We start from the raw sequence: 16,720 nt of genomic DNA, 5'->3' as shown, positions 1-16,720 counted from the left end.
CTGTGGGGTCTTCTTTCTTTTCTCTGAGCTCTCTCTTTTGACCTCCCCTTTCTGCCAGTATGGTTGAATGAGGTATTAGCAGACTGGACAAATTTTGTCCTTTCCCAAAACCTGCCTCATATCCTTGAACAAGTCATTTAATATCTCTGAGCCACTGTTTTCCTATCTTATCTATCAGGAGAGGGGCAATTCCATGGCTCAACCCAAACCTCAAGCTGAGAGGAGCAGCACAGACCCATGTTGGATTCTGAGGCAAAAAGAAAAAAAGAAAAAAAATGAGTCATCCTGACTGTATCTTTACTTCAAATTTTGTTATTTCCTTCATTAATCTGATTTTCTAAACTACTACATTACAATATTATTTGATTCCTGAGACTTGGGGCAGTCCTAAATTCTGCTTGCACCATAGTCCTGACCTTGACTATAATGGTTGATAAAGGCCCAAGTGAAGTTCTTCTTCCTAAGCATACCAGGCTTCGCAAGGGTGGTGGAAGCCTGGCCCCTGTTTGCCCTTCTCTCCCTCTGCTGGTCTACTGTGGGGTGGTAGGTAGGCCTCCAGGACCTCCTTCACCCCAGGGGACACTCCAGGATGGCCCCCAAAATTGATAGTGTAAGGACCAGAAGTGACAGAAAAAATACTGCCAAAAATGTGATGGGTTCAGATGGTGATTGTTGAATTTCACCTGCCATCTAGCACATGCTGAAGGGAGGGTTTTCTCCTCCTATGACCATGGCAGTGGGGTTTGAAGCCAGCTCTGGATCCTGTAGTACATACCGCTCCACATCTGAGGACTACACATAGTAGCGTGAAATGGCCACCATGGGGGTATTTACAGGAAAATCAACAAATGCTACAAATCAGGACTTTCTTGGGGAGGTTGTTGTTAAACATTTACCACCAGCACACCCCTGGCCCTGAGGAGATCAGACATATACAGCCATGGTTCAGGTTCTTTCTCTTTTATCTTTCCAAAAACAGGCTGTATCCACCAAAGCTGTGGCTTTAGTAATCCAATACTGACTTCCAGAAACCCTGCATCTCTCTATCTCCCTGGAGCCAACAATGCCTCACTGAGGAAGAGCGACAGCCTCATCCCTGACCCTGCAGAACCTGCTCCGATGCTCCCTTGTGGCCCCCAACCTGCTGGGGTTCAGCTACCCCCAGATGTTACCTACTTGCCACTGTAAGAGGGAGCGCCTGCCTTATCTTCCCCACACCCCATCCCACAAGGCTTTAGGACCGGGAAAACTGTCAGAAAGACTGGGCTGGGCAAGGAACACTGACTTAACTCTAGAAAAAAGCAGAAATGGGACTAGATTGAGGAAAACCCTGGGGTTGGGGTGGGGGTCAGCTCATCAGGAGGCTTATCTTGGAATCCAGGTAAAGAGTGATTATAGTCTTCAAGGTAATTTTACAACACAAAGAAAACAATTCAACTATCCTGGTATTTTGGTCTAAATAACTGTCAAACCCTGCCTATTCAAAAGCTGAAAGATGTCAGCTAGCATTTATGGGACCCCTGCCAGATGCTGAGCATGATTCCAAGCACCTTAAGTGTATGAGGTACTACTATCTGACACACACGACAGTATCCCGCATGCGTGCAAGGTAGTACCTCACATGTGTGACAGAGCATCACACACGTGCGAGATAGTATCTCACGCACACGTTTGTGGGAGCATCACAGGCACCTGCGGTCATGTTACACATCTATGAAGTATCAACATTACATATTCATGCAATATGTAAGCATCTTACATACTTCCTCTAATATCACAAGGCATTACTTTTGGCACAAAGAGGTTAAATAACTGTCTTGTGAAAGGCCATGCAGCCAACAGTAAATGTCAGTTTGGGATTTCCCACCCTGGCCCAGCCATCCACGCCTCCCAAGGATGGCAAAATAGCCTAGTCCCACTTGTACCCAACTGTGTGTGTAGAAGTTTCCTGTCAGCTGCTGATCACCCACCTCCCCACACATCTGCCCTTGCTCTCACCTAGATACTTAGAAAAGAAAGCTGAGGGGGACTGATTAAGTCATGGCACACCCACATAATGGAACGTAATGCAGCGGTTTAACAAAGCAGCTATGCTAAGCCCACCAAGAAACTAAGCAGAAAAAGAAAACTAAGAAACATGTCGATAGTGTGTATTTATTTGTATAAAATGAGAAAAAAAGAATACACTCAAACGCATATAAGCAAGACTGTGGATGGAAAATTTCTGCAAGGGTATATAATAAGCTATTCATCCTAAAAATGTTTATCATGTGGACACTGGATTCCAGGCAATGTTCTAGGCACAAAGGGATAACCCATGGCTACTCCCTCAATTTTGTTCTCAGATATTCTGGATTTGGTCCTTAATAGACAGGTCTCTGCTAACAAAGCAAGAAATTGCCATGATAGTCCAGAGTACAGTGATTATGACTGGGAGGTGCTCCTCACAGAAGCTAGGGTGCAAACTTTACCTCTCAATCTCTGGGGAGTCTACTTAATTTTCCCTTTCAATAATGCTCTGTTTTGACTTTATAAATTCACTGGTAAATATGCAAGGTCAATGGAAAGAAAACAAAACAAACAAAACCAGGTACTAAAAATCAAAGCAGCCGTGCCTTTTATTTTGTAATTTTCCATAGAACAATAGATGATAATGTTTGCAAGTGAAATAAATACTTCATGACAGTGAGTTTTAAATATTGTGTAAATATTTATGTGATGTCAAAGAATATGTTCTACATGTGTACTCACACAATGCATTAAAGAAAATTTGTTCAAAACAGGAAAGAGGAAACAGCAACTAATTCCCTCAGAGAGATTATTCGATGCTATCTGTATCTTCCCAGAGAGGCACACAATAAGAATCAGAAACGTCTGAGAGGAGAGGTTTGAGATTGCCTGCATGTTTTATTCTGCATGTAATCTAATCAGAAGAGAACGGGTGGCATTTCAAGATTAGCATCTCAAGTTTAACATGAACCGTTGTTTCTCCTTCCTCTTCACTTTCTGAATGATCTTTGCTGTGTTCATGGCAGGATTTATGCTCTGTCCAGGTATGAAAACAAAACTGCAGCTAGTGTTCACTACATAGGAAAAAAAAAGTGAAAATCTCAGACTTTGATACGGTAGGCACAGCAGCATTAGAGTAAACTGAGTCAAAACATGGTGATTGACAGATAATGTGAGAAAAGAAGATGCCAAACCCCAATCTCACTGCCCCATGGTTTCTGATGCCAAGCACACTGTGTTGAACACAAAGAAGCACCGAGGAGCAGTGATTTCACTTAAGCAGGAAGCCTGCTAGCCTCTAGTCTATATTCATTCATTCATTCATTCGCCCATTCGTTCATTCCCTCCTCCATCCATTCACAGTTACATATTACAGTCATGGTGGAACTTTACTGCATGCTTCTGGTACCCAGTAAAAATTACTACTTCCAGGAGGAAACCACAGAGCAAAAAGCCTCCAGGCAGACCTGCTGAAAGCTCAAAGAGTGCTCCCAGCCTGGGAAATCTGCCAAGTGGGGCACCAGCCAAGGGTGGGACCAGAATCCCTGTTGGTGCCAGTGATGATCTGAGATGAATCACAGGAAACTGAGCAATTGCTGCATTCTCGGGCACCTGAGCACAATGGAGCTCACGTTCCATGAGGCCAGGTTCTGGCCACTGCTCATGCTTCTAAAATGCTGTATTAAAACGGGCCTGTGGACAGCAGGATTAAAAGTCTTAGTAGGGTCTCTGCCTGTCCCCAGGTGCTGGTTGGTGAACATGGAAAGGGTGTGAATGTGCCGAGTAGAGTGGGACATTCCTCCCTCGAACAAATAACAAGCCTTTTAATGCCATAGGCACTGCAACCCTAAAGGCTATGGGGTTATTTATTGAAAAACCCACACCCTTCCAGTGCTGTTCGTAGCAGCCATTCCACATCACCCAGTCAGTGGCAGGCCACATTCATGAGACTAAAGCAAAGTGAACTCAAGATCACACCCTTCGACGTCACAAGGCTCCCAGCTACCTCACCTTGGGCTCCACAGAGCTTCTCAAAGGTACGTGCCTGCACAATTTCCCAGACTACCGCAGTGAGCCAACTTTTTAGTTCCTCAAACTCCTTCTTTACTAAGGCAGTTTTGAGCACTTGCTAATTTTAAAGTCAGAATTAAAAAGAAAAATAATGGTCTTTCCCAAGAGATCTGGAGTCCCGGCAGGGCGCCCAGAATGCTGACCAGGTGGGTATTCTGATTAGATGACCTGGGAAGGAAGAATTTCAGGGAATCTGAAGATAAAATGGAGATAAAAGGCAATGAAAGAATGGTAAGGCAAAGGAAATGGAGAAAGACAGAGGATAAAAGAGGTAAAGATGGCCGGGCGCGGTAGCTCATGCCTGTAATCTCAGTACTTCGGAAGGCCAAGGTGGGCGGATCACCTGAGGTCAGGAGTTCTAGACCAGCCTGGCCAACATGGCGAAACCCTGTCTCTAGTAAAAACACAAAAATTAGCCGGGCGTGGTGGCGCACACCTGTAATCCCAGCTACTCGGGAGGCTGAGGCAGGAGAGTTGCTTGAACCAGGGAGGCAGAGGTTGCAGTGAGCCGAGATCACGCCACCACACTCCATGTTGGGCAATAGAGCAAGACTCGGTCTAAAAAAATAAATAAATAAAAACAAGTAAAGATGATTATTATGCCACCCAGTCTGAGCTGGTAATTACCTAAATGAACCCCACATGTTCCCAGAAAGCAGAGGGACTCATTTTACATAACACAATCTACTCTCCCTGGTTTTTTGGTTCCTACTGATCAGGAAACGAGCTTGCCTTCCTTCCATCCTCCCTTCTATCGACCCAGGCCCATCTAGTCCCCACGGCAGGGCACTGGGAGATAGACGTCCCTTAGGAAGCTTCATATAGGTGAACAAGCCCCAAGTCTTTCCACAGAAACAGCTATAATGGCCACAGCTCTTGTGGAACTTATATCTTTTCCTTTGGCTTCAAAAACCTGCTTCAATTAAACTTTTTCTTACCAGTTTTTATGTTCCACTGAGACTGACCAAAACTCTGCACATGGAGAGAGGGATGAGAAGGTCAAAAGCAATAATGCTTTTAATAACTGAAAGCATCCCAGAATCGAACTCATGCTCCTTCAGGGCTCAGGAGCTCTGACACGCACATGCACACAGCACAGTGCCTCTCCCTGACACCCCCGCTGCTGGCACTTCTCCCAGGCCAGGGGACATCATAGTCCAGGAAATTTGCCAGATTCCCAGTTATTCGGGCCTTAAGGCTTGGCAACTCCTCTCTCCCCCGGAGCTGTCTTCTATAGTGATATGAGAATGTTGGGAAAAGAATAGTCACTGTGTGAGGAAAAAAGTCTATTTCTAATAGCTCTGCAACCAAGAGAAACATCAGCTAAATGCTGAGCTGCATATCTATAAACTTCCATTTGGAGAAAATGAAAACTGCCAAGAGGGGAACAAAAAAGGAAGGGGGGTGGTGGGCGTTTTCAGTTTAATGAACCTGAGAAAAAATTCTGAGGCCACAGATGCTTAAGGGAGATCCAGTTAGCTCAGTCCTTGGTGCTAATGAAGTAAAAGTAGCGACCAAATTCCTCAAATGAGTGAGTTATCTTTGTCTAGAAGGTAAATATTACTGGCCACAGGCCCTGCCTTAAATCTCAGCCAGATTTCTTATAGGTATACATTCTTTAGGGCCCTGGGGGGAAAGTAGGAATGGTTCTACATTACCCAACTTCTTTCCTAAAATTCACCTTCCATCCTACACCTTGCTGACCTCAGGAAAGCCCAAGAGTTGTGTCTTTACTTAAAGAAAGTGTCACTTTCCTAATCCAAAAATCTAAGCCCTGCATACGCTAGTCACCCACTTGCCTTTTCAGTAGGTTTTGGTTTAAGCAGTACCTGGGAACAGGTAGCAAAGGCGAGGCTGGGGTTGAGGTCTACCACAGTCTTAAGAATCCCTGGCAGCCGGGCGCGGTGGTTCACGCCTGTAATCCCAGCACTTTGCCAGGCCGAGGCAGGTGGATCACCTGAGGTCGGGATTTCGAGACCAGCCTGACCAACATGGAGAAACCCCGTCTCTACTAAAAATACAAAATTAGCTGGGCTTCGCGGCACATGCCTGTAATCCCAGCTACTCAGGAAGCTCAGGCAGGAGAATCGCTTGAACCCGGGAGGCAGAGGTTGCAGTGAGCCAAGATCACACCATTGCACTCCAGCCCGGACAACAAAAGTGAAACTCCGTCTCAAAGAAAAAAAAAAAAGAATCCTGGCAATGGAGTAGCACTGCCCTGGCCAAGGCAGGCTGCTACACCTCTGAAATGCTAACAAGCCTGGCTCCTCAGCTAAAGCTGCTCCTGAACTGAAAGTCTAAATGGGGTCTCTGCCTGTCCCCAGGTGCTACTTGGTGAACATGGAAAGGGTGTGAAATGTGCCAAGTGAAATGGGACATTCCCCCCTCAAACAAATAACAAGACTTTTAGTGCCATAGGCATTGCAGCCCTAAAGGCTATGGGGTTACAGAAACCGACTCACGGAAAATGAATGACACAATAAATCTTGATTACTATCTTCAGCTGCTGAATTTGAGATAACTTGTTATATAGCAGTAGATACTTCATTCAAGAGGTAATAGGTAAAGCAGGAGAAAGTCAGGGTAAACATTGCAAGGAAAAATGTTTTTAACTCTGAGACTTGTTCACTGCTCAACCAAATCGGGGGGGGAAAGGAGGTAGGTATTGTGACTACTGTACTTGGTGTTACACACTCCTGCCTATGGAGAGAAGCAGAGGAAGGATCAATGCTATGATAGGTCAGCTTATATTAGAATCACTATCACATGGAAACCAGGGCCTGTGTATAAGTGAGTAAGGCTGACTTAGCTCCTGAGAGCTGGGAATTCAGAGACGCTAAAGTCCTGGTATTCTAAAAAATAAAGTGATCCCTCTTGCTTCCAGCCCCTCTGTGTTTGCTTTACTCCTTAGTGCCAGGCTTTCAACCCTGTTGAAACAGAAAGCCTCTGCGAGGGCCATTATAAGTTCAACATAGGTGAATCTCAGATCCTTTTTGGAGAGGTTGTGCTGGGCAGGTAGGAAAACTGGGGGGCAGAAAGGATTGTAGGAACTGCAAGGAGAGTGAGGCAGGAGCTAAATTTGGGGAATTTTTCAGTCAAAGGCTGATGGGTGCTTGGCATCTCTAAAGCAAAAGATAAAATCCACTGAAAACGGGATGTTAGAAATAATAGGCACCATTTACAGCAGGGGCCCCCAATCCCCAGGGGACCACAGTACTGGTCTGTGGCCTGTTAGGAACCTGGCTGCACAGCAGGAGGTGATTGGTGGGTGGGCAAGCATTATTGCCTGAGCTCCACCTCCTGTCAGACCAGCAGCAGCATTAGATTCTCATAGGAGCGGGAACCCTATTGTAAACTGCACACGTGAGGGATCTAGGTTGGGGGCTTCTTATGAGAATCTAATGCCCTTCCCCTTCTGCCCCCCACACCACTCCCTGCCCATCAGTGGAAAAACTGTCTTCCATGAAACCAGTCCCTGGTACCAAAAGGTTGGGGAACACTGATTTATGGTATAGCAGGTGATTAAAACATATTTTCTCTATTTCTCGAAAGGATTCTACACGATTAGTATCACTACCTCCACCACACAATGAGGAAACCGGCACTAAGAAAATCCAAGTGACTCATCTAGGTGTACATAGTTATTAAGTGGTGGAGTTCGATTTGGTCCCAAGGCCAGACCGGTTCCAAAGTTCATGTCTTTTCCACCATACCACACACATTAAAAAATATGAAATGGAGGTTTTCCCCCCTTTATCCCAGAAAACAAGCATTCTGTTTGTATTTCTCTAACAGGTGGTCTAAAGATTTTTTAAGTGAACTTTCCTTCCCAAATGCTGTAAATGAAAAAACGATGTGAAAAATGATTAGCAGATAGGAAGAGGAGAGGCCAATTTCTTTTAAATGTATATGGGGTCTGACAAGAAGTTCTGAAAGTTTTTTTGAAACCAGACTGCTAGTAAACAAACAAACAAACAAATAAAACCCGGAAAATTAAAACTCATAGAGACAACTCCCTCTCACACCACAACACACATGCCAGGGAACATAAGGAGGTGACAGAGAGAAGACCAGAGGCCCCACTTTAGCTCATTTGTGTGGACCCTGGCTGTTTCATGCAGAATTTTGAAAGGTAAGAGGGTAAGTTAGATGATTCCGGAGCAAATATAATCATCACACAGGCATTAACCTCTGGGAACAAAAAGTTTGTATCTGCTTGAGAAAAGCAAGGAAGAAAGTTTCAGATCAAAGTGTTCCCTAAATCTGATCTGAGCCATCCTGTGCCCAGCAGGAACACCTAGCCATGAAGAAAAAGTCTATTCTCTCTCCAGGTCAGTCCCCTCCTCAATACTGAGGCCACAAAGATTGAAATTAATGCTTCTGTTTTTTAAATAAACATGATCTTCTTTCTCCAAACACAGCAGTCAGCAAAGGCCCAGATCAAACTTATTATGGAAAATCTGAAGTAAAAGGTTCAACTCTCATGCATCTGTGTGCATGTATGTGTTTAAGGCAGGAGAACTAAAATGAAGACATGACATTATATATTTTGTTCTTCCAAACCACCTGCCTGAGAAAAACATTGCAGTGTTCAAAAAGGCGTTACTCCTTCATTCTAGAGATGCCCTGGCCTCTCTGGCTAGCAGTCTGGCACAAATAATTCCTTGGAAGTAGAGGTCTTCCTGCATCTACTGTCAAACAGGCAAGACCACGACAACCACCTTCCTCTTGCCCTGAGGAAGCACGGTGCATTTTAAAAGCTAAAAAGATATTATTCTCCCTATTTTCAGCTCATGAGAACTCCAGTTGATTTCTAGCTAAGAACTACCCGCAACTTAATTAGTCATTAACCAGAACTTCAGGTTGACTCTTAACCTGTCAGCCTGAAATGTGCACCTGTTAGACCCCTGACGTGGCTCTTTCTGATGTTAATAGCTAGCCTGAAGACCTTTCTAGAGATCAGAAATTGCCTCCTGCTCCTTAGGGGCAAAACACATTTCCTGTTGGAATGTGATGGCTAAAGGATTCTATTAAAAAAAAAAAAAAAAAAAAAAAAAAAAAAAAAAAAAAATATATATATATATATATATATATATGTTTTAAAGGCCAGAGGAAGGGAAAAATGGTGTTTCTGTCTTTCAGACAATAACCACAATCCCTTGACAAACCTGAATTAACACACAGAAGAAGCTAAAACTCATAGAAAATTAAAACTCATAGAGACAACTCCCTCTCTCACCACAATATATATGGCAGGGAGCATAGGGGGTGTGTGAGAGGCCAGGACATCTCAAGGGGGTGCTCCCTGGCAGGTGGATTGTAGTGTGAAAGGGAGTTGTTTCTATGAGTTTTGATTTTCTTTCTTTTTTTTTTTTTTTTGAGACAGAGTCTCCCTCTGTCAGCCAGGCTGGAGTGCAGTGGTGCGATCTCAGCTCACTGCAAGCTCTGCCTCCCGGTTTCATGCCATTCTCCTGCCTCAACCTCCCAAATAGCTGGGACTACAGGCGCCCGCCACCACGCCTGGCTAATTTTTTGTATTTTTAGTAGAGACAGAGTTTCACCATGTTAGCCAGGCTGGTCTCGAACCCCTGACCTCGTGATCTGCCCACCTTGGCCTCCCAAAGTGCTGGGATTACAGGCGTGAGCCACCATGCCTGGCCCAATTTTCTTTTTCTTTTTTTTTTTTTTTTTTTTTTTGCGGGCCTAATAGATTAGGTTTATTAATATAACTCCATCACCATTTTCTTCTAAATGAACTAAATTCTGAGGTTCTCTCTGCTTAAAATAACAGTGAATCTGAAACTTCAGCATGCATCAGAATTAGCCAGAAGGCATGCTCAAACATACACTGCTGGACTTCACTTCTAGAACTGCTCATTCAGCAGGCCAGCTCTGGGAAGGGGTTGAGAACCACTTCTAACAAGTTTAGGGATGATGTGACCAGGACTACATTAAAAAAAAAAAAAAAAATAGAGACACAGTCTCGCTCTGTTGCCTAGGCTGGATCTAGTGCAGTGGCATAATCACAGCTCACTGCAGCCTTGAACCTCTGGACTCAGACTATCATTCCACCTCAACCTCCCAAGTATGCGGGGCTACAGGAGTGTGCCACCATGCCCTGCCTGTCTGGGTCTTTATTTACAGAGGTGGGGTCTTGCTATATTGCCCAGGCTGGTCTCAAACTCCTGGCCTCAAGCAATCTTTCCACCTTGGCCTCCGAAAGTGCTTCCAAATTCCAGGCATGAGCCACCATGCCTGGCTGCCACATTTAAGAACTATCTAGACCTCATTATCTATCCTATCTGAATTGCCTAAGAGTGATCAACTTACTTATTCACAAGTAATTAGAACACTGATTAAGATGTAGAAAGCTGGAAAGACCATCATTCCTATCATTACAACAAAAAACAAACACATAGGCAAATAGATCAACAGAATAGAGTCCAGAAATTAATCCACATATGTGCATACAATTGATTTTCAAAAAAGGTGCAAAGGCAAGTGAATGGAGAAATGGCAGTCTTTCAACAAGTGGTGCTTGGACAATTGAATGTCCATGCATAAAAAATAAGCATAGACCCATATCTTCTACAAAAATGAACTCAACATAGATCATGGACAAAAACGTAAAACCTAAACTATAAAACAGTGGAGGAAAACACAAAAAATCTTTGTGACGTTGGGTTTGGGTGAAGATTAGCTATGACATTAAAAGCATAATTCATAAAAGATTGACAAATTTGACTTTGTCAAAATTAATAACCTCTGCTGTTTGCAAGATGTTAAGAGAATGAAAAGACAAGTATCAAAATGGGAAAAAATATTTGCAAATCACACATCTGGTAAAACACATGTAGAATATGTAAAGAACTCTCAGAACTCAATAATTATTAAGCAAACAGTCAAATAAAAAATGAGCTAAAAATGTGAACAACACCTTATCAAAAAAGATATATGCTAATTAAACACATGAAAAGATGCTCAACATTAGTTTTAGAAAAAGGCAAATTAAAACGACAGTGAAATACCACTATATATCTATTAGAATGCTAATGTTAAAAAATAATAAAATAAAACCTGAAAATATGAAGTGCTGGTGAACATGCAATTTCAGCATTGTGTCTTTCATGCATTGCTGGTCAGAATACAAAATGGTCCTGTCACTTTGGAAAAGAGTTTGCAGGTTCTTTTTTTTCTTTGTGTGAGACCGAGTCTCGCTCTGTTGCCCAGGCTGGAGTGTAGTGGTGCGACCTTGGCTCACTGCAACCTCCGCCTCCCGGGTTCAAGCAATTCTCCTGTCTTAGCTTCCTGAGTAGCTGGGACTACAGGTGCATGCCACCACACCTGGCTAATTTTTTTTTTTTTTCTTAGTAGAGACAGGGTTTCACCATTATTGGTCAGGCTGGTCTTGAACTCCTGACCTCAGGTGATCCACCCACCTTGACCTCCCAAACTGCTGGGATTATAGGCGTGACCCACTGCATCCAGCCTGCAGGTTCTTATAAAATAAAACACACACTTACCATACATAATCAAGCAATCTTACTTCCAGATATTTATTCAAATGAAATAAAAAGTTATGTTTACATAAAAACCTGTATGAAAATATCTATAGCAGCTTTATTTATAAGCACCAAAAACTAGACGCAATCCAAACATCTCTCAATTGAGAAAAGGACAACCAAACAAATTGGTGTGTAGCTATAAAGTGCGGAGTTCTATTCTGCAACAAAAATGAATGAATTACAGACACAAGCAATGACATAAATAAATCTCAAATGCACCATGCTAAATGAAAAAAGCCAAACTCAAAAGGCTACACATATACTGTACGATTCCATTTAAACAACATTCTGGAAAAAGCAGTTATAGGCACTGAAAAGACCGCAGCGGTTACCCGGGGCTGAGGGTGAGCAAAGGGCTTGACTATGAAAGGGGAAAGATAACGGGAGAATTTGGGAGGTGATGGAACTATTCTATATTTTTATTGCGATAATGGTTATACGACTGTATGTAATTGTCAAAACTCAAATAACTATATGCTAAAAGGTGAAGTTTACTGTATGTAAATGACACTTTGTTTTTTTTTTAAATAGAGGGAAAAACTAGGGCACACCTACTATACCTGCAACCCTGTGTCAGGAGCTACTAAAGATACAAAAAATAACCCTGAGCGCAATTTAGAATGAACATCTGCCTAAAGCATTTATTTATCCATGTGGGGGTTTGTTTTTGAGATGAGCATCTCACTATGTTGCCCAGGCTGGCCTCAAACTCCAGGGCTCAAGCGATCCTTCTGCCTCAAACTCTGAAGTAGCTGGGACTACAGGTTAGTACCACCAGCCCAGCATGCCTGGAGCATGTAAATAGCCTATAACTAGGAATTCAGCTGAGCAGAAGAGACTATAAACATAAGAGTTCAGAGAAAGCTGGGGCATCAGGTATTAACAAGGTCCCCTGCACTGTCTGGTTCTACTTTTATGCTACGGGCCTTTCATTCTTCCTCCCATGTTTTTATCACACCAACCAGGTCAGTCTCCTGGCAAACCCTCTCAGAGGCCAAGCTCATTCCTCCCTCCAAACTTCTCATTATACCAGTTCTCCTTCCCAGGACTTTCTGCCCTCTCGTCATCTAAATCCTTCCTATCCTTTGAGATCTAATTCCTCCATGAAACCTTTCGATATCAGGGCAGTCCACAGGGATCTTTTTCTTCTTTGAACTACCATAGTACTTGGAGTCTTTACTATTGAATTGGATATTCATCCATTAAACATTTAATTATATACTTGATGGAGTACTTGATGGAGTGCGTGATGGAGTGTTCATATTGTTTCCTCAGCTAGATTGCTAGTTACTTTAGGAAAAGTAGCCCTTAAGATTTATTTTGCATGCTTCTTCCCAACCTCACCCCATACCCCCATTGCCTAGTTCTAATCATTATTAATTAAATGAAATACTAAAGTATTGACAATAGTAGGTAGGAGAAGCAATGGGGTACCAAACACACTGTAATTCATCCACTTAACAGCTCACAATCACTGTGTTTTTTCTTGCATACATGATTAAAATGTCTTTTCACAAAATAAAAGCTATCCTCGGTTCTAAACAGTTTAACAATCCCTAAAGGGCCTACAAGAGCATGCAATAAGTACTTGCATTTCTTGACAGTAATTGTTTCCTTGTATAAGATTCCTTTCATGATAGCACATTGAAATGAGGTTCTCCCCCTTTGTTTAAACACTAATCAAACAAATTCTATACATTACTTTTCTCTTGTAGAAGTCTGGCCAAGCATCTTGAGTTAATATGTACCCTCTATGAATGTTTCCTATTTTCATGCATGCTTATGTTTAAATTAGATAGGCCAATTTAATTAGTCTTTTAATCCTGCAGAACAGTGATGCAAGACCCTCATGCTGGGCTGATGTCATCCTATTCAGAGTCTCATATCACATTTCCTTACATGTTCTTTGCTTATTTTACAATAAAGGGTTAATGGATGATGCAATATTGATAAGGAACTTACAATTTGATCACAAGAAAATTGTCTGCTCTTCAGAAATTTTCTACCTGGCCTCTAAATTCTTTTGACTCCAATATTTAGTGATAAGGAAGCCATTAGCTGTCATTTGGCTTGGGTATACAGACTTATTTCAGTAATACACAGGCACACGTTTGTGAACAATTTTGAGAACTGTTTTCCTTGCCAAGATTCACTAGGGCCACACAAAGTCCCTGCGCACCTAAGGCCACCTTCAAAGTGGGAGCAGGACCAAGGAGATTTGTTTTATTCCAAGAACTGGCCAGTAGATTTATAGAAAATGACATTTGAAAGTCTTTTTAAATTTTGTAATAGGCAAAGGCACTGGCACTAGATAAGATTGCAGTAGGGAAGGGCAGCTTATGTTGTCTTAGGAAAATAGACAGCTTTTGTGAATCCATTCACTTCTGTGAAAATTTGACTTCCTCTGTGCTTTGCCTACATCAACTGGTAATTTAGGTCCAGGAGGTACACGAAAATAATTAGGACTAATATTGCACAACACGGGCTCTCAACTCTGCCTGCAGGTTAAACTCACCTGGAGAGTGCTGAGAAAGCCAGCGCCTGTGGCCCACCACAGACAACTGAATCACAATCTCTTCGGGGGGAGCCCAGGCACTGGTACTTTTCTTAAAGCTCACAAGGGGATTCTAATGTGCAGCCAGTGTTTAAAGCAGTGACAGCAAGAGTGGATGGGGGCGCAATTAAAAAGTAGGAGAGGCATCGAGGGACAACCGCACTGATCAAGCCGGTGACTTTCTGACTCAGCAGTGACACTGAATGAGTGTTTTGGGTTCAATGTCATTTTTTAGTTTAGGGCACAGCCCACGGTTGGGTATTCCAGGAGAGGTGTTCCAGAGGAGGGGAAAGGGAGCGGTAGCTGGCTGTTCAGGGAGAGGGAAGGGAGGAAGAGAGAGAGCAAGGAGGATGTTCTATCCAAATTGAAAAGCGTATGAAAAGTGCCCTGGGCAGGGAGTCCAGTAATGGAGAATCGTCTTGGCTCTGACATATGTCACAACCAAATATGTGACCCGTGGGTAGGTCATTTCTCTTGCCTTGGCCTCATCTTCCCCAAGACAAAATTACATGGGATGGTTCATGTTTTTCAAGTTCCTTCTGGTTCTGAGATCCTCTAGGTATGTTCCATCAAAAGTACTGGGGCATTACAGATGCATTTGCCTGGACCACCTGGCCATGGGGAAGGGGGTTCAGAACTGTGTTCACCTCCCAGGTAATCCGGGGCAAATGCTAAAACTTGAAAACAGATCTAGAGTTATTTCAGAATTACTATTATTTAAGCATTTCATTATCTCAAACACTACTCAGTAATGTCAAGAAAGGCAACGGGCTTGACCTCCCTGTCCATAAAATGAGATGTCAGGGTGAACTCAGCCTACCGCTTAAGACAAATCCTCATACTGTGATCTATAGTTTTATTTGGCTGCTGTGTTTCGTGCTGTTAATTTATAAGCTCGTTGAAAAGAGACACTGGTTGTCTAATAGACTTTTAATGTGACATGGCACATAATAGCCTAAACAAAGCACATTCAGTGTTCCTACTTTTTCTATAAAAAGTTGTGTTCCTGGAAAGCTGCATGTCAATGGCCCTCCCATCAATCAAAACCAATTTTAAATGTACAGTACATTAAGTACATTAAGTGCTATATAAGGGAATCCTGTGGTGAGTGCTTTTGAAGAGCGACTACATTTTTTGGAAATGCTAATAATTACATCTTAATTCAACTGTTTGGTAAATCTAAACTTTTAACATAGCAATTTCAACGTAAAATAGGGGTTGCTTTATGTTCCTTTAATTTGAACCATTAGTTAACAAGGGAGCCTGAAGTATTTTATAATAAATTCTGCGTGTAGTCCATGTTCCTTTAGAATGTATACTTCCAGCAAAAGGAGGGGTGTTTTATTGGTTTAAAATTCAGGGTGCTTCTGTGTGTTAAGCCCATGAGAGAGAGAGAACAAGAACAGCCCAGCATAGTGATGACTTATGTACGCTTGCGAGGCCCAGGGGCAGCATGGTGTAATGAAATGTGTATATCATTATAACTTTGGGGCCTGGGCTCTTTTGCCGACCACCACCTAGTTGGGTGAGTCCCTTTCCTTCTCTGGGCTTCAGTTGTTTATCTATGTGATGGAAAAATCAGACTAGGTGATAGGTCTAACATTCTAGGAGTCAGGCTCTTTTAAGAGTCTGAATCAACTGGGCACAGTGGCTCATGCCTGTGATCCCAGCACTTTGGGAGGCCGAGGCGGGTAGATCACTTGACGCCAGGAGTTGAAGACCAGCCTGGCCAACATGATGAAACTCCGTCTCTATTAAAAATGCAAAAGTTAGCTGGATGTGGTGGCACATGCCTGTAATCCCAGCTACTCAGGAGGCTGAGGCATGAGAATAGCTTGAACCCAGGAGGCAGAGTTTGCAGTGAGCCAAGATGGCGCCCCTGTGCTCCAGCCTGGGCGACAGAGCAAGACTCCGTCTCAAAAAACAAAACAAAACAAAACAAAAGAGTCTGAGAGTCTGGATCAACTGAGTTTGTCACATTTTACAGTCTTAAACCACTCACTCGTGCTTTGATCCAGCTTGGCACAAACTCAGAGGATGAGGTGTGGAAGAACCAGACTCATTGTATGTGGTTGTGTACAAAAGTGCTCAGCCTTTGCTACATTTGCCTCCAGCACAGAGTTGCATTGGCTCAGCTGGGGCCCTCATTTTGTGAGATGCTGCATTGGTCCTAGGGAGAGCGGCACCTTTAAACCTAGAGGAAGCAGAGCACGTATCTTGTGGTTAACATCTAAGTGTGGCCCCAAGCCAAAAGGGCTGTCTTTCTGGGCCCAGAGAAGCCTTGACTCAGGAGTGGGGGCCATGGACACATACATACTGCCTAGTCTCAGTGAGGAAGTCAGAGTTAGGGAGGAATTATGAAAGCCCAAAGACTTGCAAGACAGAGGGACCTACCTGGCATGACTGACTGGAAACACGACTTCCTCGACAGTCTGTATGAAGCTGTTTCCCAGAGGACTGGGTTCCTCCTTAGAGCCTTAGGTTAAAGTTGTCTAAAGCAGTGGTTCCCAATCTGGGCTAC

The 16,720-nt window shown here is 43.2% G+C and overlaps 1 protein-coding gene and 1 long non-coding RNA gene across 21 annotated transcripts in view, besides 4 other annotated features; both read right to left on the bottom strand.

The window, feature by feature from the left end:
• The window catches only part of PRKCE (protein kinase C epsilon), a 536,712-nt gene that overhangs the window by 220,023 nt on the left and 299,969 nt on the right, over nt 1-16,720 (bottom strand). The window lies entirely within an intron of this gene.
• On the bottom strand, nt 2,139-9,111 carry LOC124907761 (uncharacterized). Its single transcript, XR_007086305.1, has 2 exons — nt 4,517-9,111; nt 2,139-3,083 (listed from the first exon to the last, which is right to left on the bottom strand). It is a non-coding gene; the product is annotated as an uncharacterized LOC124907761 (long non-coding RNA).
• Nucleotides 3,335-4,534: an enhancer, noted in NCBI's record as "CDK7 strongly-dependent group 2 enhancer chr2:46190573-46191772 (GRCh37/hg19 assembly coordinates)". NCBI's record gives its function as "activates an origin of replication core promoter dependent on BRD2, BRD4, P300/CBP, MED14 and CDK7 cofactors, with strong dependence on CDK7, by STARR-seq in HCT116 cells {active_cell/tissue: HCT116}" and the evidence as "EXISTENCE:reporter gene assay evidence [ECO:0000049][PMID:35650434]".
• Nucleotides 3,424-3,718: a silencer, noted in NCBI's record as "tiled region #14433; HepG2 Repressive non-DNase unmatched - State 9:DNaseU". NCBI's record gives its function as "represses a minimal TATA promoter and a strong SV40 promoter by Sharpr-MPRA in HepG2 cells {active_cell/tissue: HepG2}" and the evidence as "EXISTENCE:reporter gene assay evidence [ECO:0000049][PMID:27701403]".
• Nucleotides 7,584-7,878: an enhancer, noted in NCBI's record as "tiled region #2946; HepG2 Activating DNase matched - State 8:EnhW". NCBI's record gives its function as "activates a minimal TATA promoter and a strong SV40 promoter by Sharpr-MPRA in HepG2 cells {active_cell/tissue: HepG2}" and the evidence as "EXISTENCE:reporter gene assay evidence [ECO:0000049][PMID:27701403]".
• Nucleotides 8,672-9,222: an enhancer, noted in NCBI's record as "OCT4-NANOG hESC enhancer chr2:46185885-46186435 (GRCh37/hg19 assembly coordinates)". NCBI's record gives its function as "activates a minimal SCP1, AML or CMV promoter by ChIP-STARR-seq in primed H9 embryonic stem cells {active_cell/tissue: H9 hESC(primed)}" and the evidence as "EXISTENCE:reporter gene assay evidence [ECO:0000049][PMID:30033119]".

Source organism: Homo sapiens, chromosome 2, assembly GCF_000001405.40.
Source record: "Homo sapiens chromosome 2, GRCh38.p14 Primary Assembly".
In the NCBI taxonomy this organism is placed as follows: Eukaryota; Metazoa; Chordata; class Mammalia; order Primates; family Hominidae; genus Homo; species Homo sapiens.
The sequence above is the reverse complement of the archived record's forward strand: the minus strand, read 5'-3'. Positions and strand labels throughout refer to the sequence as shown.